The sequence below is a fragment of the Homo sapiens genome, chromosome 2 (genome assembly GCF_000001405.40).
Source record: "Homo sapiens chromosome 2, GRCh38.p14 Primary Assembly".
NCBI lineage: Eukaryota > Metazoa > Chordata > Mammalia > Primates > Hominidae > Homo > Homo sapiens.
In genome coordinates, this window is record NC_000002.12 from 219,287,886 (window position 1) to 219,310,122 (window position 22,237).

Consider the following 22,237-nt stretch of genomic DNA (forward strand, 5'->3'; position numbering starts at 1 on the left):
GCTCTTGCTTCACCGTCAATCACCAAAGGGCCTCTACTATATTTTTCTCAAAGTGAAGAAGCAGCCTACCCTGAAAGAGGAATTTCAAACCTCCATCCTGAGTCGGGTGGAAGTTTGCAAATGGCTGTTTCTTCTACGTCTGTCTAGCCCTTGAGATGGCTATCACTGACACTGAGCCTCAGCAGAGCGTGGGTGAGACAGCGGGAGGGCCTGTGGTCTGCTGGCGGGTCCCTTCACTCCTGCTCAGGGCAGATGGTGCTTGCCCTGTTTTTTAATTAAGGAGACTGAGTCTCAGCACAGGTAAGTAGCCCTAACTTCCAAGTAGCCCCAGGCCTAAGGCTCTTTTTGCCTTATTTCATGTCCACCCCATTTGTCCAAGGACACCTCCTGACATGCAGGTGAGTGTGCCTTCTGGGACTATACAGGGTGGAGGGTTCTGGGAGCTGGGGTGAGACAGAAAGTGTCCTTTATCCCCAGGGGAACGCCTGTCCTAGCATCTCACAGGCCTAGCCTAGACTCACTGGCAGAGTTTTGCTATAGTTTTGCCTAAGGTGTGGCAGACACTTTGCTAATATCACTTTGTTCAGGCCTCACCTCAATCTGGCAGCAGAAGGGCACAAAGCAGCTGCCAAGAACTGAGAGGAGGCTAGGCGCGGTGGCTCACGCCTGTAATCCCAGCACTTTGGGAGGCCAAGGCGGGCAGATTGTCTGAAGCTCAGGAGTCCAGACCAGCCTGGGCAACATGGCGAAACCCCGTCTCTACTAAAAATATAAAAAATTAGCCGGGCTTGGTGGTGGGTGCCTGTAATCCTAGCTACTCAGGCGGCTGAGGCAGGGAAATCGCTGGAGCCCAGGAGGCAGAGGTTGCAGTGAGCCGAGATCGCGCCACTGCACTCCAGCCTGGGTGACAGAGCAAGACTCTGTCTCCAAAAAAACCCCAAAAACAAAAAAAGAATTGAGAGGAGAGGTAGTAGAGAGGAGGTTAGTCAGCCAGGTGCAAACTCTAACTCCACCTTACAATCTTTTTTTTTTTTTTTTTTGAGACAGGGTCTCACTCTGTCACCCAGGCTGGAGTGCAGCGGCACACTCTCGGCTCACTGCAAACTCCACCTTCCGGGTTCAAGTGATTCTCCTGCCTCAGACTCCCAAGTAGCTGGGATTACAGGTACCCGCCACTACACATGGCTAATTTTTTTGTATTTTTAGTAGAGACAGGGTTTTGCCATGTTGGCCAGGCTGGTCTCGAACTCCTGACCTCAGGTGATATGCCTGCCTCAGCCACCCAAAGTGCTGGGATTACAGGCGCGAGCCACCATGGCCGGCTAATTTTGTATTTTTAGTAAAGACGGGATTTCTCCATGTTGGCCAGGCTGGTCTCCAACTCCTGACATCAGGTGATCTGCCTGCCTCAGCCTCCCAAAGAGCTGGGATTACAGGCATGAGCCATTGCACCTTACAATCTTACAAGTTGTGTTACGTGTTACCACAAGCAAGTTCTGTGCCTCAGTCTTTCCATCTGTAAAATGGGACTCATCATGTAAAGCACCTTGGAGACTGCTGGCTGCATAGGAAGCCTCGTTCTAACGTAGTGTTCCCACCTAGAAGGGCCTTACTGGCAGCTGGCGCTCTCCTGCTGTGCTCTCTGCACCTCCTGAGAGACCAGCAGGGACCGGCTCCGGGCTGAGGCTGGGGCTGGAGTCCAGATGCACAGCGGACAGAAATGCGTAGGAGTCTGGGTTGCAGCTGCACAGACAACACACTAACTTTATTCACACTGGTACAAAAGTAGTTTTTTCTAGAAATGTTCTCTTGCGCCAGAAGGAGAGAGGTTGAGCAGCGCATGGTGGGAGGGTGGTGGGAGGAGGCTGGGCGTGAGGCCAGGGAGGGCAGAGCGCCCAAGTGTGAGTCAGAGGCAGGCCCGGGGCTGAGAAGCAGGGGGAGCCGGGTGTGGCGACCCTCCACCCCATTCTTCCATACTGGAGCATAGGGGGACACACACAGATGTTCAGGGAACTCCCAGAACCCCAGGAGAGCTACAGGAGAGCCAGGCCAGGGAATGTAGGCAGGAGAAGGCTCTGGGTAGAATTGCTACCCATGTCCTTTCCTCTCCTCCTGGCTGCAGCACCCCCATGGGATGCCCTGGGCTCTGGGATGCCCCAGGCTCTGGCATGCGAGGCTGGGCAGGCGTGCCCCTTCTGGCTTTCCCTTCCTGACTCTTCTAGGAAGGGCTGAGCATGCCCAAGAGGTGGCTGGTGGGGCAGTGAGGAGTGGGTACACAGAGATGCTCACACAGGCAAAGAGGGACAGAGGCTGGGCTGCCCGCCAAGGGGCCCCAGGGTCTCACTGGGGCAGGGCCTTGAGGATGGCATTCACTTCCTCCGCCACGGCTGTCAGGGCAAATTCAAACTGGTCCTGAGGAAGGGCAGTGGTAGGATGGTCATGGAGAGGGCTGACCTGTGCTCTGCCCTCAAGATGGGGGGCTTTTGGTGGGGGGAGGGCCCTGGGCAGGTCCCCTGGGAGGAAGGGAGCCCTCCTGGAGGAGGCGCAGAAGCAGGTGGGAAAGGTTGGCAGCTGCTGCTTTCCCTGGGGTGGCCAAGAAGTGGGTGCTAGGGAAGGGTGGGAGCTGGGGTTGGGGCAGGAAGGCATGGTCACCTTAGAGCGGACAAGGCCAGGCCGCTGGTCACGGACATGCTCCAGGGTGGCAGCGATGTCAATCTCCTTCACTCCTGGAGATGGAGGTGGGGATGGGGCTGCTCAGGGGGTGTCCAGAGGAGGACAGGACCCAGAAAACCTGAGGCCTCCTGGAGGCAAAGAGCCTTGGAGGGCTGGGCAGAGCCTGGAGGTTGACAACCTGCTCCTTCTGAGCTCCCAGGACCCTGTGTGCTGGGGAGCCTCTAAAAAGGGCCTGGGGGCTGCGGGCACCGTGGGGAAGCTCCCTACCTTTTGCCATGCGGTTCAGGACCATGTCGATGAGGATGTAGGTGCCGGTCCTCCCCGCACCATCACTGAAACAGGAGTTAGTGACAGGTTTAGCTTGAGATGCAGCAGAAAGGGGGAGGGACGGAGGAGGCGAGGAGGCCTGGAGGCCTGGGGGAGGGGAGGACACTGGGTGACCCGTTGGGGTTGGCTTGGAGAGGGACAGTGAGCCGAGGATGAAGGAAAGCTCATAGCACCTGCACGCTGGGACTTGGGCCTTGAGAGGGGAGTCTGTGACCTGTGGGTGTCATTTGGGCAATGGGACAACCAAAGAGGAGAGCCATGGCTCAGCCCAGAAGCAGAGGCAGCAGGAGGGAATTGGATGGGCCTCTCTAGCCTTCAGCCAGCTTTTTGTGTATAGGGGGCCAATGGTCAATATTTTCAACTTTGTGGGCCACATACAGTTTGTATCACATACTTTTCTTCTTTTTTCTTCACCCATTTAAAACTGTGAATGCCACGCTTAGGTCTTGGCCATTAAAAACAGGTGGTGTGCTGGATTTGGACTATGCCTGCAGTTTGCTAGCACCAAGGGGACAGGCAGGCAATGTGCACAGGAGACGCACACAGGGAGTGGGACCAGAGAGATGAATCTCCTCTCCACCCACCTGCAGTGCACGATGATGGGGCAGGAGCGGCCCCGGTAGCACTTGTTCACCTTCCTGCAACAAGAAATGGGTGTGAGGGCCAGTGGGCACCAGCAGAGAGGGAAAGGGAAGCTGAAACACATGACGTGGGCCTCTCTTTCTTCCTTTTCTCCCCACCTGCCCGGGGCAGAGAGGGAAGATGGTTGGAGAAAGGAGCCAGGGCTGGAGGCAAAGAACCAGAGCTGGTGTGGGTGGCATTGGGCTCGCCTTGTCACTTGCAAGCTAGGTGCCCAAGCTATGCACCTGGAACAACTGATTTAACCTCTTTGAGCCTCAGTTTTCTTACCTGTAAAATGGAGGATAGTAAGAAAAACCTCCTTAGGGTTCTTACAATGATCACATGAGATAACCCATGTAAAGAGCTAAGTGCTAGGTCTGGCACACAATAGGTGCTCAATACATGGTAGCAGGTGGCAACTATTAATGATAATACATCATCATATTAAGAGACACTTCTGCCCAAGTCCAAGGGGATAGCTTTCTGGTGACTTCAAGGGTGTCAGTCTTGCCACATCCCTGCTCTGGCCCTCTGCCATTCTTTATGACCACCCAGGCTGTTTTCCTCCCGACTCAGGCTCCAGTGGTCCTTACCAGTTGTGACATCAGGCTGCCCTGGGCATAGTGTTCCCTGGGCCAGGGGAGGACAACCCCAACCCCTCAACTCGGGACATTGTGCTACTGCTTGTCTCCCTGGAGCAGTCTCACTTCAGCACAGGCATTCTGTGGCTGCGTTATATTCAGACTTGGGGTCCCCTTGGACCTCAGACCTTTCTCCACTGCCCCTGACCACAACTCAGTGAGGAGCAGGGGGCTTCTCCGTCTCTCAATGGACCCATCTAACCTGCCCTTGTCCTTTATGACCTTTCTGCTTTGGGAGTCACCTGCATACTCCTGATATCCCTGCAAGCCAGAACCAGGGAAGACCTTCTTAGGGGTTGTCAGATTGAAGTTTGGAACTTCACAGTCCTTCAGCTATAGGACCAGGTGACTTAGAATGGCTTCATAGGAGTCCACATGGTTTTCTAGCTCATTGGCTGTTACGTCAGAGGGCTAGGGTAGAAGAGTAATCACAATAGTTGTTTTTGCTCATTTAATAATGATAATAGGCAGCATCTAGAATTAACGGAGCCCTTGCTATGTATCAGGCACTTACACTAGATTTTACATACTTTATCAAATCTTGCAACAGCCCTCTAAAGCAGGGGTCCCCAATCCCTGGGCCATGGACCAGTGTCAGTCTATGGCCTGTTGGGAACCGAGCCGCATAGCAGGAGGCAAGCGAACATTACCACCTGAGCTCCGCCTCCTGTTAGATCAGCCATTGCAATAGATTCTCACAGAAGTGCGAACCCTATCGTGACCTGCACATGTGAGGGATCTAGGTTGTGAGCTCCTTATGAGAATCTAATGCCTGATGATCTGAGGGGGAACAGTTTCATCCTCAAACCACCCCCTCTCCCAGCCGTGGAAAAATTGTCTTCCACAAAACCGGTCCCTTGTGCCAAAAAGGTTGGGAACCTCTGCTCTAAAGTATGTGTAATCATCCCCATCTCACAGGTAGCGGAATGGAGGGAAGCCAAGGAACTTACTCAGGGTCACTTTCTTAGGGTCTCTTTTATTAATTTGTTTTCCTTCTAGGGGGGCTTGACCAAACTGCATTTATTTATTTATTTATTTATTTATTTATTTTGAGAGGGAGTCTGGCTCTGTTGCCCAAGTGGCAGTACAGTGGCACGGTCTCGTCTCACTGCAACTGCTGCCTCCCAGGTTTAAGAGATTCTCCTGCCTCAGCCTCCCGAGTAGCTGGGAGTACAGGCGCTCGCCACCCTGCCTGGCTAATTTTTGTATTTTTGGCAGAACAGGGTTTGACCATGTTGGCCAGTCTGGTCTTGAACTCCTGATCTCAAGTGATCCACCCACCTCGGCCTCCCAAAGTGCTGGGATTACAGGTGTGAACCACCGCGCCCGGCCCCGAACTGCATTTCTTAAGCAACAGTTTATTTGTTCTGGATGTCTAATGCCAACTGAGTTTACATAATTCCAGCCTAAAGCAATCTTTTAGCTTATCTGTGCAGCTTTAAAACAGATCCATGCACTAGTTCTACCAGGATTTTTTAAATATGGAAAAAAGGAAATAGCTCTGATACCCTGGCACTGCTTTCAAGACGCCTGTGTCTCAGGCCTCAGGGACCCCAGTTAGAAACTGCTGTCCTGAGGTTCAGAAACTATACCCATGTCCCCACCCCCAGCTCTGCTCCTCTGTCCAGTACCTAGAGACATCAGGCCAGCTTGGCAAGGGACAGAGAACCAGGAGAAGGGCGCAGTGTGGGTGGGCCCCTGCCCTTGGTAGTGGGCTTCCCAAGTACCTGTCTGGGGCTAGGAAAAGCAGGGGACGCTGGAGGGCTGACCTGTCTTGGTGTCAGTGTTGGAAAAGGGTAAGTCCCTCAGGTAGCCCCTGTCTAGTCCCCACCTGCTCCACTGAGCCCCCCAGAATCCAGAGATCCTCCCACACTCCTTTCGACAGTCTTTGCCTCTTCCCTGTACCCCTTGCTCCCAGCTCGGGGTGGTCCCCGGGCCACATGTCCTGTCTGTCCATGCAGCAGCCACACCTGCCAATGATCACTTTTGTGACTATGCAACTGGAGTGAGAATACTAGCTGCAGATCACAAAAATGACACTGGCAGCTGTGAGGGAGAGAGAGAAAGAGGGAAGAAGGGAGAGGGAAGGACAGAGAGAGGAAAGACAGGCAGCGGGAGGGAGAGGGAGAGACGGACAGAGCAGCAGAGAGAAACTGGCAGACAGGGGAAGGAGGTGGAGAAAAACAGGGGAGAGGGCAGAGAGAAAGGAAGAGAAGCGCGGAGAGGGAGAAATGGAGAGAGAGGGAAAGGGTGAGGCAGAGACAGAGTGAGAGAGAGATGGGGAGAGAGAAGAGGAAGAAAGAGGAAAGGAAAAAGAATGAAAGACACAGAAAAAAGAGGCGAAGAGACGGAGAGGGATGAAGGAGGGACGGAGAGGGATGAAGGAGGGGAGACGGGCAGGCGGGAGTGAGAGACGGAGGGGGCAGCAAGGCAGCGCAGTGCAGGGCCTGGAGACAGCGGGGCAGGAGGGAACTGGAAGGAGAAAGGAAGCAGGGGTCCTGGAGAGGGAGGGGAGACAGAAAGCAGAGGGCCCTCTGGAGGAAGCAGGTGGAGGAGAAGGAGCCAGTCCCGGGAGCGTGAGAGGGAGGGAGCAGAGCAGCAGCGGCCGGCGCGGAGCTGGCCCACGCGGGTGGTGGAGGCTCGGGGAAGGGCACAGCCGGAGCCTCAGGCCTGCTTTTAGGGGTGGGAGCGTGGGGTCTGGAGCGGGCGGCCAGAAGTCAGAGGCCGAGGCTCCAGGCCCGACCCGGGGCTCCAGGCCGAGCGGCGGGCGGACCCCGGCTCCGCCCCCGCCCATGCGGTCCCTCCAGGCGGGGGCGCCCGCGCTCACCTGCGGAAGTCCAGCAGGGGCCGCGTGGAGGCCGGTGTGCCCTCTGCCGGCCAGCTGAGGAAGTGGAACTGCGTGAGCGTGCGCGTCTCCTGGGTCTGCACGTTCTTCAGGTAGAAGCTCCGCACCAGAAAGTCCTCGCACCAGATGTGCTCCGACACCAGGTTCACCTGCCCGGCAGGGGCCCAGGCCTGAGCGCCGCGGGCTGCCCCAGTCCCCGCGTTGCGCGCGCTCTCCTCGCGACCTTCTCGGTCTCTCCAACCACCGCCCGGCCTCCCAGGCCGGTTCAAATTCTAAGTTCCAGCGGTCCCAGGAACCCTGGCTGCCTGTCACTTATCTACTGCTCAGGACCACTAGTAGCTTTTCCACCCAGACACAGCTATTGTGAGCCTCTCGAGGTCGGAGTTTCTCCTCCCTCTTCCTCGCAGGGTCTACCAGAGTATCGGTGCTACACGTGCCATAAACTTGGATGAAATTCTGTAGTATTCTTACTGGATTTTTTTCGTTAACCACCAGCAGGACCAATGAAAGGCTTTTTAAAAAAACCGTCATGTGCTTATTTGGTGGGGAAAAAATTACTATTCAGGCTCATCTGGTGATGAGAAGCTTCTGCTGTGTTCTTAAGGTTTTTTTGTCTTAGTGGGGACTCACGTTCTCCCATTTGTCTGAAATATTTCTCTTTCCCCTGCTTGGCCTCTGCCCAGTTCCCCCTCCTTCTCCACCCCTCCACCTAGTCTCTCTCCTAATGAAAAAGTTTGTTTCTCTTTTACATTAGTAACGTATGTAACGGGTGGTATGTCTTTCTTTGCTTTGGCCACCAGGAAACTCAGAGCTAAATTAGGTTCAATTAACGTAGGTCTTAATCTCAGTCTTTGGGTATCCTTATCTTCCCTGTCTAATATACACTTAGCTGTTAGCTTCTTACCTCGGTTTTGGTGGTTTTATAGTTTGATCTCTGTGCCTTTATCATAAGTCTCTATGAACGCTTTTTGACTCTAGACAGGACACACACACACACACACACACACACACATGTATGTTCTGTAAACAGGACACACACATGTATATATGTGAATATATGGGTATGCATATATGTGTTTATATATATTCATATATGTATGAATCATGAGCAGGGCCAATAAAAGCCTTTTTAAAAAGACTGTTGAGTGCTCATTTGGTGAAGAAAACGTTACGAAAAGGCCATCATCTACTCTTCCCACATCCATTGTCCCCTTGCTGTGGGGCCCTGCTGACCTCATATACGTGGTAGAGGGAGGCACCCTCATCTGGCCAGTAGCGGTCACACTGCTTGACACCATCCTCCACCAGCGGGGTCAGCATGACGATGACGGTGCAGCCGCTCTCCCACACCATCTAGGGACAGAGACCCAGTTGAGCTCCACTCTAACCTCCCTGGGACCTCGTGGCCACAAGGACCCCAGCGAAGCCCTCCCTTTAAGAGCCCACCTGCCAGAAGTCTGCGATGGTATGGGACAGCGGGCCCTGCGTGGCTATGTAGGCTGGCATCCGAGGGTCATGCTCAATCTGGAGGCAGGGAAGATACACCATGAGCCAGTGTGGGAAATGCCACTATGGACAGGCGTGGTCAGAGCAAGTGGGTCAGGGTCTGAGAAGGCTGGCAGTTCCCCCTTGCTAGGATATCAGGCCCCACCACTCCAGGGGGTTGGTGGGGTGGCAGGTGACCACGGGGAAATGGAGTGCATAGGGCCAGGATAATGATGGGGCAGAGGTGGGGGCTGGAGTCAGGGCCACTCACAATGGGGCTGGCGTTGATGTAATCGCTCCGAGAAGGGCTGCTCTCCACCTTCAGTTTTATGCGGGCATGGTCATCTGCACAGACCCGACACCCCACCCCAGATGGCCCTCTGGTCATTGGCATCGCGGGACCTCTGCCACTCAGCCTGAGCCAGAAGCCCAACCCCTTACCCCAAGCCCTCCAGACCTCGCAGCAGAGAGAGGGCTGGGCCAGGTGGGCCAGCAGGGTTCACTCACAGGGCAGGAAGTCAGGATGCCGGTTCTTTTTGATGTTGCCCTCCCCCTGCGCGGTGGCACAGGTGTTTGGCTCTGCTTGGTAGGCACAGAGGGCCTGCCACTCCTTGGCAAGGCGGTCCCGGTTCCGCAGGTGATCCTCCATGTATGCCTGTGGGGGCACCACGGTCTGGCTCTGGCCCACACAGCCAGCCTGGCCTCTCTCACCATCCCATTCCTTCACCCACTCTGGGCCCAGGCCCTGTCCTGACCAGAATCATGTGTCCCGTGGAGATGTCCATGTTGGCTTGGGCCGGCTCCTCGCACCAGGACGGGGTGCTGCTGTGGGAGCTGGGGCTGGCCTGGGCTGCGTCGCTGAACTGGGAGGACACACTGCTCACCCGTGAAGGCTCCGGTGGACCCTCTGCCCGGTTGAACAAGGACTTCGTGGCCATGTGCTGGCGGCACAGGTCCTGTGGAGGAAGAATCAGGTGAGGTCCAAGAGTCCCCTGAAACTTTTCAACAGGGCCCTGGGTTCAACTCTGGGCTCCTAGGCTTGCCCTTGACTGATTTTCAGTGGAACTCAGCTCCTCTGGGGTATGGTCTTCTGCCTGGCCCTGATCCTTTCCAGGGCTGTTTTGCTTGGGTGGTGCTTATGTCAACCTCAGACATGACAGAGTGGAATCCCAGAGCCCCAGAAGCACAGCACCAAGAAGAACCTTAGGCACTGTATGCTCCCAATTCCCATGCGTTCATAAAGGCCCCTACCATACTCCCTCCCACTGGGGCTTCTCCAGCCTCCACTGGACCTTCCCAGGGATGAGGGCTCACTCCCCATTCAGTTCCGACCCTTAGTCCACGCAAGACCCAGACTCCCAGGCCCCTTGCATTTCCTTTGCTCAATCAGCTTCTGGGGCTGCACACCTGGTACTCAAAGGTAGTGTCACCATGGGCCCCCTCAGGCCCCAGGGCTGCCAGGCGCTCCTTGTCTTGCTGCCGCGCATGCTGCCGCACACACAGAGCCACAGCCAGAGCCACCAGCAGCCCAGCCACACCTGCCAGGGCCACCAGAGTGAGCAGCACTGAGCGCATGGGTGAGGTGCTGTGCGCAGTTTGGGGAAGGACTGCAGCTGCCTCCTCCCTCTGTGGGAACAAGGCTAGAATCAAGGGAGGCAGTGGCATAGGGAGGTTTCAGAGCTGCTCCTCACCCCGGTCCCATGCCACACCCCCTGTTAGGACATCTCCTGGGGCAAAGCTGGGAGATTAGGGGTATGGTGGTACAGCCAGATGGGCTCAGATTCTCCTTCTCAATCCCCATCGGATCAACTCAACCACAGTGCAGTGCCAGAGGCCCCCACCAGGAGTGTTTGCATTTAAAAACGGACAGAGAACCCTAGGAATTGAATTGTAGAACGTGAGGCATCAGTGTTGGATGCAGAAGACAAAGGTATTTTGAGTATAGGCCGGGCGTGGTGGCTCACACCTGTAATCTCAGCACTTTGGGGGGCCAAAGGTTGGCGGATCACCTGAGATCGGGAGTTCGAGACCAGCCTGGCCAACATGGTGAAACCCCATCTCTACTAAAAATACAAAAAAAAATTTAGCCGGGTGTGGTGGCAGGCACCTGTAATCCCAGCTACTTGGGAGGCTGAGGCAGGAGAATCGCTTGAACCTGGCAGGTGGAGGTTGCAGTGAGCCGAGATCGAGCCACTGCACTCCAGCCTGGACAGCAAGAGTGAAACTCTGTCTCAGACAAACAAACAAAACATATTTTGAGTATAATGTCCTTTCTGTGCAAGGTGTTCCCTTGGAATTTGGAGACTGCGCTCCAGCAGACTAAGGGCGGCTCAACTAGTTCTCAGGCCTTTTTACTACAGAGGGCTGGTCCTGCAGGGAGGGGACACCTACGCCATCTGCTGGTGAGAAAGAGAACTGCGGGGAGGGGCTGCTTGGGCGAAGGCCGCCTCCAGCCAGCCGTGCCTACGGACACGTTTCGGCTCCAGTTCTCCCCTCTGGTTTGCCTCCAGCTCTTGCGGACAACATCAGCCCTCTGGGGACTTGGACTGATTCTCCAGTTAGCGCATACCTGTCCCACTCCTGTCTGCAAGATTTGGAGCCCTGTCTGTGCTTCCAGTTCAGACTTCACCAGCCCTGCAGGGAGGACAAAGGTCAGGCTTGCTCCAGCCCCATGTGGTCTCCATCCTCTGTCTTGCTCTGCCAAGCAGCAGGCAGGGCCCATGTGGGCTGGGAACATTTCAAGGGGGCATCAGCAACAGGCCTGGATATATCCTCTTAGGAGTGGGGCTGGGGCCAAGCCTGGGATTGAGGTCGCAGAGATATTTACCTGCTTGTTGGGTCACATCAGCCAAAGACAGGTTCTGCTCATTGTGCCGGATGCGGAAGGTGAGGGCTGGTCCCACCACACTGCCAGATAGGAGCTATGTTACTGCCTTCTCCACCCCAGACCGCAGACTTCAAAAAAGAGGCCAGCTCTGGCCCTCTCCCCGTTAGAGGATGGGGCTGGAGCAGATCGGGGATGCCCTACAGGGGCATCTTAGGCAAGGAAGATGCTGGGTGGGGCCAGCAACGGGCTGGGTGTGGCTGTACCTTCAGTACAGCTGGGAGCATCCCTGAGCTCAGAGCTTGTCTGCTCTTCCTCCCGCAGGCCCCTCCAGCCACCTCCTTGCTCAAGCTGCTTTCTAGATCTCGGCCACTGCCCTAGCAAGATGCCAGCCCCACCTGATGTTGATGAAGCTGCCTGAGGACATGTGCACATGCTCAGCCAGGATCTCCAGCAGCTTCACTCCTGCAGCCAGGCTCAGGGGCCTGGAGATGGGAGAAGGCAGAGGAAGGAAAGTGGGGCAACCCTCTCAGTCACTTTCTTAAAACAGGCCACTCCAGGGGTACAGAGCAGCCTGCCAATTCCCTGTCCCTGCACGTCTGGATTTCTGCCCTCTGCTTCTGGCCAGGCAGGCCAGCCCAAATCCTAGCAGACCAGAAAGCTTCCCAGGATGCAGCCCTTACTTCTGATCAGTGACGATGTAGCCATATTCCTCTGCTGCTGGGCGGGCTGAGGGCTGTCCTGCCACCGTGGGCTGGCTCTGGCCCAGTGGGCTTTTCTTCTCTAGCAGGACAGGTGTCACAGGGGGTCTGGCAGCTTTGGGAGGCTCAGAGGAGACAGGGCTTGGCACCTGCTGGACTTCACTGGAGGTAGGGCTGGCAGTGGGGTGTCCAGGCATGGGGGATGTGCGGGCTGGAAGCTCTGCTGTGTCTCTGCCCTCCACCGGCCCCTCCATTGTCTGTTCAGAAGAGGGTGGAGGTGTGGCCTCTGGACAGTGCTGGGGGAAGGGGTACCCTGGACTCGGAGCTCTCCACAGTGGAGCTCAGGACCTGCTTTTCACTTTCTACCCCCAGGGACCACTGCAGTGCTGGGTACAGAGAGGACACCAGAGCATCTGAGACAAGTAAGTGGATGCATGAATGAATAAAGGATTGAATGATTGAAAATGGTCTGTACTAATCCACAGAATGGGGCTGGAGACAGAAAACCCCTGCAGCAAGAGAAGCTGGGGTGAGGGTAAAAGACAAACAGGCAGGCGATGGTTTCTAGACTTTTGTTTAGCCACAAAGTCTTAGAAATCCAACACATGAAACAGAAAGAAGCAGAGCTCCTCCTGCTACAGAAGCTCAGGAAGGGCTCTCTGCTCGAAACTTCCCTCCTCCCCTAGGAATCCTCAGAGCATGGTCTGAAATGATTGTAGTGAAAAGAGGAATGAATTAAGAATTCAGTTTTCTGGCTCCAGTTCTGCCATCAACTTGATGGGAGACCTTAGGCAATAACTTGCGGTCTCTGGGCCTTGGTTTCCCCCAAAATGAGGGGTGGGAGGATACAGATTCTAGGTCCTGAATTTGAAATTTAGGTTTGGCAAGGGGGCGTGCTGCCATGGGGTGATTATGAGTCAAGGAGGTGCTGGGGACTCACTTTCTTGATATCAGCTCCAACATTTACAACCCCTCCTGCGAGACAGGAAAAACAAGAGTCTGGAAAAATGGCCATGGCCAAGGTCTACACAACACAAGTGGGAGAAAGGGCCAGAGACCCTGAGCCTGGAACATTTGCTGTGGTCTTCATCTCAGTCAGTGACCAAGACCCTGTTACTGGTCTCATCCTAAGCCTGGCCTCATTCCTTTTTGCTTCCTCCTCCCAATTTACTGTTTTATTAACTCCTCCCTCTACCATTGGCCATCTCTCTCAAAGCTATTCTTTGTTCAGTTATTTCTCTACCCATCAATTACTGGCTTCTTCTTAGTACTGGCTATGCCCGTTTTTAGGCCCTCATTGTCACCAACCCATCCTTCCCGATGCCTCCTTTTCCCTGCTCACACCCTCTGTTGGCTGCTTTTTCCATTACTTCCACCATCTAGTCTTTTCCTGATCTAACTCCTAAGCTTGCCACCCTACCCCCTTGCTCCCTGCCTTGCTGGCAATGACCCTATGTCTCAAAGGAACTCTTTCCCCTGAAGCCTGACTCTTCCTCTCCAGGCTACTCCAAGTGGTCTCGAGGCAGGGCAAGAGGCCTCCATGGAGCCGGGAGATATTGGTCCCTCCCTCTGCCTGGACACTTACCCGGATTTCTTCCTGCACCCTTGGGCAGTAGCTGCAGCAGGGTCAGGAGTGTGGAGAGCTGCTCAGGGGTCAGCTGACGCAGCTCTACCCCATAGCCCGCCAGCACAGCGGCCAGCCTCTGCAGAGCCGCATCTGCTGGGAGCCAGACACAGAGCTTAGGGCTGATTGCGCAGTGAACTTGAGGGATGCAGATGAGTGAGTGAGGGTGGGAAGGGACTAGCATGTTAAGAGAGTCTTCCCAGACACCAGGACACCAAGAGATGCCCTCCCTTTCCCAGCCCTTGTCCACACTTTGGGGGAAAGTTCTTCCTGGGACCCAGATCAAACTTCAGGACATCTTGACTCTCCACTGGAAGGAGAGTCACGTCAACTCCACTCCCCACCACTTCCCTAGTGCCTGGCATAGAACAGCTTGTCAGTAGACATTCCTTAAATGTATGAATGACTTTAAGGACAAGTTAACAAACGCATAGATTGTCAGGGAAGGGCCCCACCATGGTTCCCCCAAAGCAGCCCTCACAGGGAGGTGGATGCTGAGGACCTTGTTACCTGGCTGCACAGCTGGGGAAGCAGGCTTCTCTCCACGATCCCCTAGTCCTTCCTTCTCATAGCCCTCTGGGGAGTCCTCTGCCCGGCTGCTGCTCCCTTGCTCTGGCAGCCTTGGCACCCTGGCCCTGCTGGGTGCTGGCAACTCCTGGGCCAGATAGAGCAGCCCAGAGTCTTGAAAAAGCTGGGCAGGTGAAGGCCCTGGAAGGTCCCCGTAGGAGTGGCCAGGGTGGTCCCCAAATATGCCCTTGGAGGCAGTTCTGCTGAAGAGGGCAGGGGCTTCAGCCTTGGGCAGGGGGCCGACACTGACCATCCCTGGGGAGCCCTCTGAGACCCTGGAGCCATCACGGGAGCCAAACTGTGGAAAACCAGAGATCTGGGTAAGAGCAGAAGTCCGGGCTGAGGGACTGCGGTTGGGGTGGGACCAGAGTCAAGGACTTACCTGGTGGAACAGGTAGGGCTGCAGCAAGGCAGGTTCGTAACTCAGTGAAGGGTGGGGAGGCTGTGGGGGCAGCAGCAGGTGCTCCAAGAGAGGCGGGAGCAGCTCAGCCTGCAGAGGGGACAGAGAGGAGCTGGCCCCAGCTCCACCTTTGCCCACTGGTGGTTGTGGAAGCCGATGCTGGGCAGCAGGGGCGGAGCCAGTGGGGATGTCCTGTAAAAGCAGCTCTCCAGCAGGACCAGGTCTCTTGGGTGCCAAGCCAGACCTGTAGAGGAAAGCAAAGTGTGTGTGTTGGAGCGGGGGAAAGGGCATAGAGAGCCTGCAAGGCAGAACTATTCGGGGCCAGGCAGGCTCAGCGGTTAAGAGCAGGCCTGACCTCTTTAGAAACTGAGTGACCTCAGGGGAAGAGAGATGGGCTGGGTGGGAATGGGGAGGGACCAGAGGGCCAAGCTGAGGGCAGAGGTATCTGCCTCCCTGGTGAGCATGGCTGAGTCTCTGAAACAACTGCAAAGGCTGGGTAATCATGAGGCTGGGGATGGAGAAGGGGCAAACAGGAGCAGGGGAAGGCAACCAGGAATTTCTCTAGATGAACTGTGGCTGCAGCTGTCCCCGTTGCCCCTGTGTGCCATGTCCCCACACCTGGCTCTCCAAGTATATGTCCAAATATTCAGGACTGCTCCTCCACCCCCCACCACTATGCCATCTTCATCCTGGTATCATCATCTGAGCTCCCTAAACCTCATTTACTTTCCTCTGCTTTGCAGTCTGAATGATGCCTTTAGAGGCCCTAACCACAAAAAGATGATGGTGGCTCCTGTCATATAGAAATTCACATAGTAATGAAATGGAATATTGAACAACTTCAGTCCAACAGCATTCTAATTTCTCCCATGATGACTACATTGATGCTTCTTTTAAAGTAGCCAATGTCAATGTTTTTCAAAACATTCAAAAAATGCCCGTTTTTCTGGATCCCTAGAGATGAGCTCAGCTCCTCTTGGTCATGTGAGCATGTCAGAGAGTGACCATTCCTGCACCTCTTTACCTGTGCCCCAGCATGCTGGCCTTGGTGCCCACTTCCTTCCCCTTCTCTCCATCAATTAGGACAACCACAGATTCATCAGCCTCACCATTGCTAGAGTTGTAGAGAAAGGCTGCCTACCTGTCCCTTGGACGGGGCTCTGGGGGGCGAAGCCTGGGGATGCGCTCCATCTCCTGAGAGATCACATACTGGGTGAGGTCATCGTGCCAGGACAATCCTGTCAGGAAAGAGGACAGCGTAAGTTGGTTCAGGAGTCTGGGGATCCAGTAACGGGGACCACTGGGGATCAGAACTGTACCCTCTGCCCTGCAGCTCATGGGGTTTGTCAGAGTAGAGGGACAAACTCAGTGGGTGATCTGAGCTGTCTTCTTCCCACCCTCAGGTACAGCTATTGGAGCCAGACCACCTGGGTTTGAATCCTGCCTTTGCTACTGATGAATTATGTAACCTTGGGCAAGTTGCTGAACCTCTCCAAGCCTCAATTCCCTCATCAATAAAATGGGGATTTATACCTCCTAGGATTGTTATTATCATTAAAATAACACATATACATATCAAACGGTTAGAATAGTGCCTGTCATGTAGTGAACTTTTAACAAATGCTATTACCATAATTATTATTACTATTGTTATTATTCTTTGTGTTGACCCTGAACCTCAACTTTCTCTGTTTGTAAAGTGGAAACGATACATATTTCAGGGGGCTGTTGTGAAGATCAAGTGTGATCAGGGAAATCAAAGTGCTTAGAAAACTCTAAAGCATAATCCACATGTTTTAAACATGTATCATCATCTTCATTGTCGTCATCATCATCATCATCACCATTATCATCATCATCTTATTCATAGACAGCTCTCCTGTTTGACTCTTTCCCCCAAAAAAACTCTGCTCTCAGGAAAGTTCAGTCACTTATTCTAAAGGAATAATTTCCCACTTTTCACCCTCATTTTTTCTTCTCTAGTTCTGGATTTAAAATCTGTGCTGCTCTTAACTTGTATTCTGGTATCTACCAACATCCACACCTGCCTCCTTGCTTATTCACATTAGATGAGCTGTCTGTGTTCCTATTTAAAGCCAGTTCCTCTGAGCACTAGATTTCATCCCCTCTCACCTATTCAGGAACATTCTCCTTGCAATTCTCTCTTCTTTCCTACATAATTTCCTTTGTTCTCTACTGAATTATTCACATTATTCCCATGCAAACAATATGCAATTTCTTCCATCTTAAGAAAAATACTGCTTGATCCCACTTTCTTCTCTAGGGATCACTCCATATCTTTGCAGCAAGACTTCTAGAAAAAGTTGTCTATACTGACTGTATCCAATTCCTTTCTTTCTATTCCCTCTTAATCCACTTTATTCAGGATTTTATTCCCAACTATTCTACCAAAGCTGCTCTCATCAAGAGCAGCTTTGTCTGCATGTCCAAATCTAGTGGTCAATTTTCATATCTTATTTTACTTATCCCGTAATCATCATTTGACACTGTTGGTCACTCCTCCTCCTTGATACACTTTCTCCTGGCTTCTGGGACACTGAACACTGTTGTTTTTAATCCTACTCCACTGGCTTCCCCTTCTCAGTCTCCCTGAGAGGAAGTTGATGGTTCCTCTCTTTATCCTGGTCCTCATTTTTTTTTTTTTTTGAGATGGAGTCTCGCTCTATCACCCAGGCTGGAGTGCAGTGGTGCGATCTCGGCTCACCACAACCTCTGCCTCTCAGGTTCAAGTGATTCTCCTGCCTCAGCCTCCTGAGTAGCTGGGATTACAGGTGCTCGCCACCATGCCTGGCTAATTTTTGTATTTTTTGTAGAGACAAGGTTTCACCATGTTGGTCAGGCTGGTCTCGAACTCCTGAGCTCGTGACCTGCCTGCCCCAGCCTCCTAAAGTATTGGGATTATAGGTGTGAGCCACTATACCTGGCCTGGTCCTTTTAATAGAAGAATTATCTAGGACTTGATCCTTGGTCTTCTTAATAGACACTCAATCTTTTGGTTATCTCATCCACCTCATGGGTGTAATTACCATCTATATGCCAAAGAATTCCAAATTTATATCTCCAGGTGAGAACTCTGTCTCTCAGAATCCAGTCTCATGTACTCAACTTCCTGCTTCACTTGAGTAGACATCTTAAACTCAACATATTCAAAGCTGAACACCCCCACCAAGTTGAACCATTTGCAAGTTTCCACATTATAATTAGTGACATCTCCACTGATTCAGTTATTCAGTAAATAAAACCTTTGACTCCTGGCTGAGCGCGGTTGCTCACACCTGTAATCCCAGTACTTTGGGAGGCCCAGGCAGATGGATCACTTGAGGTTAGGAGCTCAAGACCAGCCTGGACAACATGGTGAAACCCTGTCTCTATTAAAAATACAAAAATTAGCCAGGCATGGTGGCGCGCACATGTAATGTCAGCTACTCGGGAGGCTGAGGCAGGAGAATCACTTGAACCTGGGAGGTGGAGGTTCCAGTGAGCAAGAGATTGCATCACTGCACTCCAGCCTGGGTGACACAGCAAGACTCTGTCTCAAACAACAACAACAACAATCAACAAACAAAATAAACCCAAAAAAACTTTGACTCCTCTCTTTATAACCATATCCAATATTTCACGAAATAATGCTGACTACCTTAAAAATAAATGCAGAATTCTCTCATCCTTCATTCCTTCCCTGCAATCACCTTGGCCCCATCCACATTCATCTCTTATCTGAGTTATTGTGGTAGTTTTTGTTTGTTTGTTTTAGTAAAGTGAAAGCAGTTTATTAGAGAAGTGAAGAAACAAAAGAATGGCACTCCATAGACAGAGCAACCTATTGTGGTGGTTTTTAGTGGTCCCCCTCACCAACTCTTGACTCCATCTATTCTAGTCTCACTACAGCAGCAAAAGTGATGCTTGTCAAGTGTAAGTCAGATCATGTGCCCCCAAGCTCCAAATCTTGTAATAGTTTCCTTCTTTACTCAGAGTAAAGCTAATGTCCATACATTCCCCTATGAGGCCCTAAAGTGATCCACATCCCTTCCCCCATTACCTACCTGACCTCACCTTCTACTCTTCCTCTCCATCAGTCTTCTACAGTCCCCTGGCCTCCATGGTGCTCTTCAGAATTGTGCTTTTGTCCTAACTGTTTGGTCTGCCTGAAATACTCTTCCCCTAGATAATCTTCTGACAAACTCCCCCACCTCCTTAAAAAGTCTGTTCAGATTTCATAGTCTCAATAATGTCCACCTTAACCACCTGATTTCCTCATTTAATACTGTAGCTTTCTACCTCACCATTTTGATCACTTTATCCTGCTATAATATTATATGCTATTTATCATCTTCTAAGACACTATGTATTTTCTAACTTTTATAGCGTGTTTCCTCCCCTTATCCCCCAAACAGAAACTCCAGTAAGCAGAGATCTTTGTTTTATTCCCGATACATTCCAAATACCTAAAACTATGCCTGCTACATAGTAAGTACTCAATAAATACTTGTTGAATGAGGAATTGGGTGAGTGGAATATTATCCTGGCTGAGGATTCCAGAGTTCTTGGCTCTGTAGCACTCAGACAATGCCAGTGAGAGGAACTGGTCCTAAGAAGATGGAAGCTGGCCTTTTCCAGTGACTTCTTCTTAGAAGGCTCCTCTGGGCTTCTCCAGAGAGTCCAAATGTGAATAGCCCATCTCTAGGGTTCCACCTCTTACTCTAGCAAGATATGGGAAGGTGAGGCTCCAGCAGTGGGGGTGATAGGAATATTCCTTGAAGAGAAATCTTCTTCCCCACCCATAACTAACCAAGTTCCAATCTCTCTCCTCCAGTGCACCCAGACCTTACCTTGGGACATGAGTTGTCGGAGCACACCTTGTAAGCGTTGGAGAACTGGGGAGGTGACTTGCAAAAGGGGCCGGGCCTGCCCCACTCCCACCTGGCACTGCCCAAACAAGCCATCTAAGGGCACAAAAGTGGTGTCAGCAGGGGGCTTGAATAAGAGGCCTTCCAAAGTCCAGGTTGCAAATGGACTGTACTCTCTTCACTTTCTCCCCTACCTCTCCTCCTCCAGGCAAGTCTTCCTTCTTCTCAAGCCCAGTAGCCCTCTTCCTTTCTGGGCCTTCTCTCCCCTTCTTGTTTTTTATTGCCCCTCTCCCCCCGATCTTGTGAGTTCTATGCTTGGGCCTCACTCACCCTGAATACAGACTTCCAGGTGAGAGCAGAGCCTGCGGTCAAATAGACAGCCTGTAGAGGAAAAGGTGAGCAGAGGCTCAGACACCCACTCACAGAGAATGGGCAGATGGGTGGACAGGCTGGGAACGGGAGAAGCAGATGCAATTTATTCTTTCATTCTAAAGAAGGCCTTAAGCTGGGAGGAGAGTAGGAATCAGGCCTGAATTTCTTAAAAGGAAGCATGGGATCTTGTTTTGGATTTTAAGAATTTGTGAGTCTGTATCCTTAAAAGCCTCTGTTTGCTTAACTGAGTGATAGGGAAGAAACCTTCCAGGTGCAGGGAGAGAGATTCATAGAATTACTGCAGGAGAGGTTTTGGCCAAATTCTGAAAGAGGAATTTCCTTCCCAAATATGGAAAAGCATCCTATAATGGCCTGGAACTCAGAAGAGGTTCTAGCACACTTCCCCCGGTCGGGGGAAAGAGGGCATGGGTGGGGCTGGGGAGGGTGTCTCTTAGGCATCTCTCCTCGCGCTGTCCCGAGCCGCTGGCGCTGTCCGCGGTGCTGAAGCTCTGAGTCTGGCGCCGCCAAGGGCTGGCCTTGGAGGCGGTTACCAGAGAGGAAGGGGTCACAGAGCGAGGACTCTCCACTAGACCTGAGCCCTCTGTTGTATTCTGCCAACCCACAGCGTCACAGGAAGTACTCTGCCTCTCGGGCCTCCAAGCCCGGGTGGGGAAAGAGGGCGCCAGGCGGCGAGGCTGCGCCCCTTCCCCCACGCGCCACCCTCCCATCCCCCACCCCCTGTCCGTGAGTCAGCGCTGACTGTCTCTGTCCGCACAGATGTGAGTCAGCACCAGGCCTGGCTGTGGGGAGGGGGACAAGAGAGGACCCTCCCCTCTTCATCCTCTTCTGCCCCCTCCCCGTGCTGTCCCCCGTTACAGGAGATCAGATCGCTGCAATCAGCTTCTCTAGGCTTACGGAGAAACCCTGGCCTCTCTCTCTGCCCAGCTGGGACTCTATGTCTGCGGCCCAGGCTTCCACTGCCCAGAGATCACCGTTCCCTCATTCTCCCCGCCACCTCCCCTTCCCATTCCTCAGCGCCTGTCACCACCTCCCAGGCGCCTCGGAGCAAGTGGCTTCTCCTGTGGTCTCGCAGCCGGTCTCTAAGTCCCTCTGCCCACATGCACCCCGTGTCCTTCTCCCGAACCTGCAATTTTCCCCAGAGCCCAATTCTCTTAGGTCCCGCCCCCGTATTCCCAGCCCCACCTCCAGGCCTACGCCCCTTTCCTCCGAGACGCCCTCTCACCTTCCTCATCTCGCATGCCTCCCCCAACCCATATTCTCCCCGAGCTTCATGACATTTCACCCTCACCCCCACCGAGTTTCGCTCCAGGCCCCAAGCTGCTCCCCGCCCCCCACCACCCGCCAGCCCAAGTTTCCTCCTGACCGTGGGCACTAACGGCGCTGCAGCCCCCCGGGCGGCTGCTCAGCAGCAGGAGGCAGAGGAGCAGCCGGAGACCCCCGGATCCCCCGAGACCCCCAGGCCGCCGCGGGCGCCGCATCTTTCCGAGCTCCGGGCGCTCGCTCCCGGGCCGGAGCCGCAGCGACGCTGGCGGGAGCCTGCCAGAGGGGCTGAGGCGGGGCTTGCCGCTCCCCACCTCCCTACGAGGCGGGGTCTACATGCCCCTCTCGCTGCAACGCGGCCAACCGCAGGCGGGTGCTGACGACACCTCCACCCCCGGCTCGTAAGCTAATTTGCGTCACATATGGCGTAAGAGCCCTGTCGGAGCGGGGGACCTACCTAGCCCATCCCTCCTCCATCAAATAGTAGGCGCCTCGCTAGAATTCCCACTTGGCCCCATCCCTGTAGCCCTCTTCTAGGATCACCTCTGTCTCCCCGCCCCAGGGTGGGTGAAAAGGGTTAAGTTAAGTGGGGGGCCAGGAAAGATAGGTGGGTCCAGAACGATAAACCCGAAGACAAGAAGCAGAAAAGTGGGTAGAATAAGTACTCTTACTCATTGTCATTGAAGATACTGTTCTCTTCCTTAAGAAAAAATGGTTAGGCATGCCTAGATTCCAGTTCTAGCAGGGCATCTACTAAGGGTATGACCTTGGGCACCTTGTTTAACTTGTCTGCGTCCAAGTTTCCTGATCTGCAAAGTGGAGGTGTTAATAGTTACTACCCGCCTCACACAGTGATTGTGAAGATTTTGTTCGTTACACTAATATGGATCACTTAGAAGGATGACTGGACTGGTGCATACTACATGCTCCATACATATTAGCTGTCATCATTAGCTTTTATTTATTTTTTATTGAGATGGAGTCTTGCTCTGTTGGCCAGGCTGGATA

The 22,237-nt window shown here is 53.3% G+C and overlaps 1 protein-coding gene and 1 non-coding gene across 4 annotated transcripts, besides 3 other annotated features; both read right to left on the minus strand.

Annotated features, from left to right (window-relative positions):
- PTPRN (protein tyrosine phosphatase receptor type N) lies at positions 1,738-21,516 on the minus strand. 3 transcript variants are annotated; one of them, NM_002846.4, is made up of 23 exons: positions 21,333-21,516; positions 19,907-19,957; positions 19,559-19,672; positions 15,850-15,946; positions 14,691-14,952; positions 14,252-14,606; positions 13,703-13,834; positions 13,058-13,092; positions 12,100-12,374; positions 11,815-11,901; positions 11,420-11,499; positions 11,162-11,226; positions 10,000-10,218; positions 9,348-9,548; positions 9,100-9,247; positions 8,864-8,937; positions 8,554-8,631; positions 8,341-8,460; positions 7,090-7,256; positions 3,585-3,638; positions 2,941-3,005; positions 2,653-2,726; positions 1,738-2,412 (listed from the first exon to the last, which is right to left on the minus strand). In NM_002846.4, the coding sequence occupies exons 1-23, from the start codon at positions 21,445-21,447 to the stop codon at positions 2,341-2,343; spliced, it is 2,940 nt and encodes a 979-aa protein (NP_002837.1). In that variant the 5' UTR covers positions 21,448-21,516; the 3' UTR covers positions 1,738-2,340. The 3 variants fall into 3 exon arrangements, with proteins under 3 accessions (NP_002837.1, NP_001186693.1, NP_001186692.1); NM_001199764.2 differs by lacking the exon at positions 21,333-21,516 and adding an exon at positions 20,997-21,085; NM_001199763.2 differs by lacking the exon at positions 11,815-11,901.
- MIR153-1 (microRNA 153-1) lies at positions 6,226-6,315 on the minus strand. Its single transcript, NR_029688.1, has one exon. It is a non-coding gene; the product is annotated as a microRNA 153-1 (primary transcript).
- Positions 6,772-7,271: a silencer, noted in NCBI's record as "silent region_12353". NCBI's record gives its function as "represses an Ori minimal core promoter by ATAC-STARR-seq in GM12878 lymphoblastoid cells {active_cell/tissue: GM12878}" and the evidence as "EXISTENCE:reporter gene assay evidence [ECO:0000049][PMID:35858748]".
- Positions 6,962-7,256: an enhancer, noted in NCBI's record as "tiled region #13803; K562 Activating DNase unmatched - State 1:Tss". NCBI's record gives its function as "activates a minimal TATA promoter and a strong SV40 promoter by Sharpr-MPRA in K562 cells {active_cell/tissue: K562}" and the evidence as "EXISTENCE:reporter gene assay evidence [ECO:0000049][PMID:27701403]".
- Positions 11,111-11,160: an enhancer, noted in NCBI's record as "active region_17149". NCBI's record gives its function as "activates an Ori minimal core promoter by ATAC-STARR-seq in GM12878 lymphoblastoid cells {active_cell/tissue: GM12878}" and the evidence as "EXISTENCE:reporter gene assay evidence [ECO:0000049][PMID:35858748]".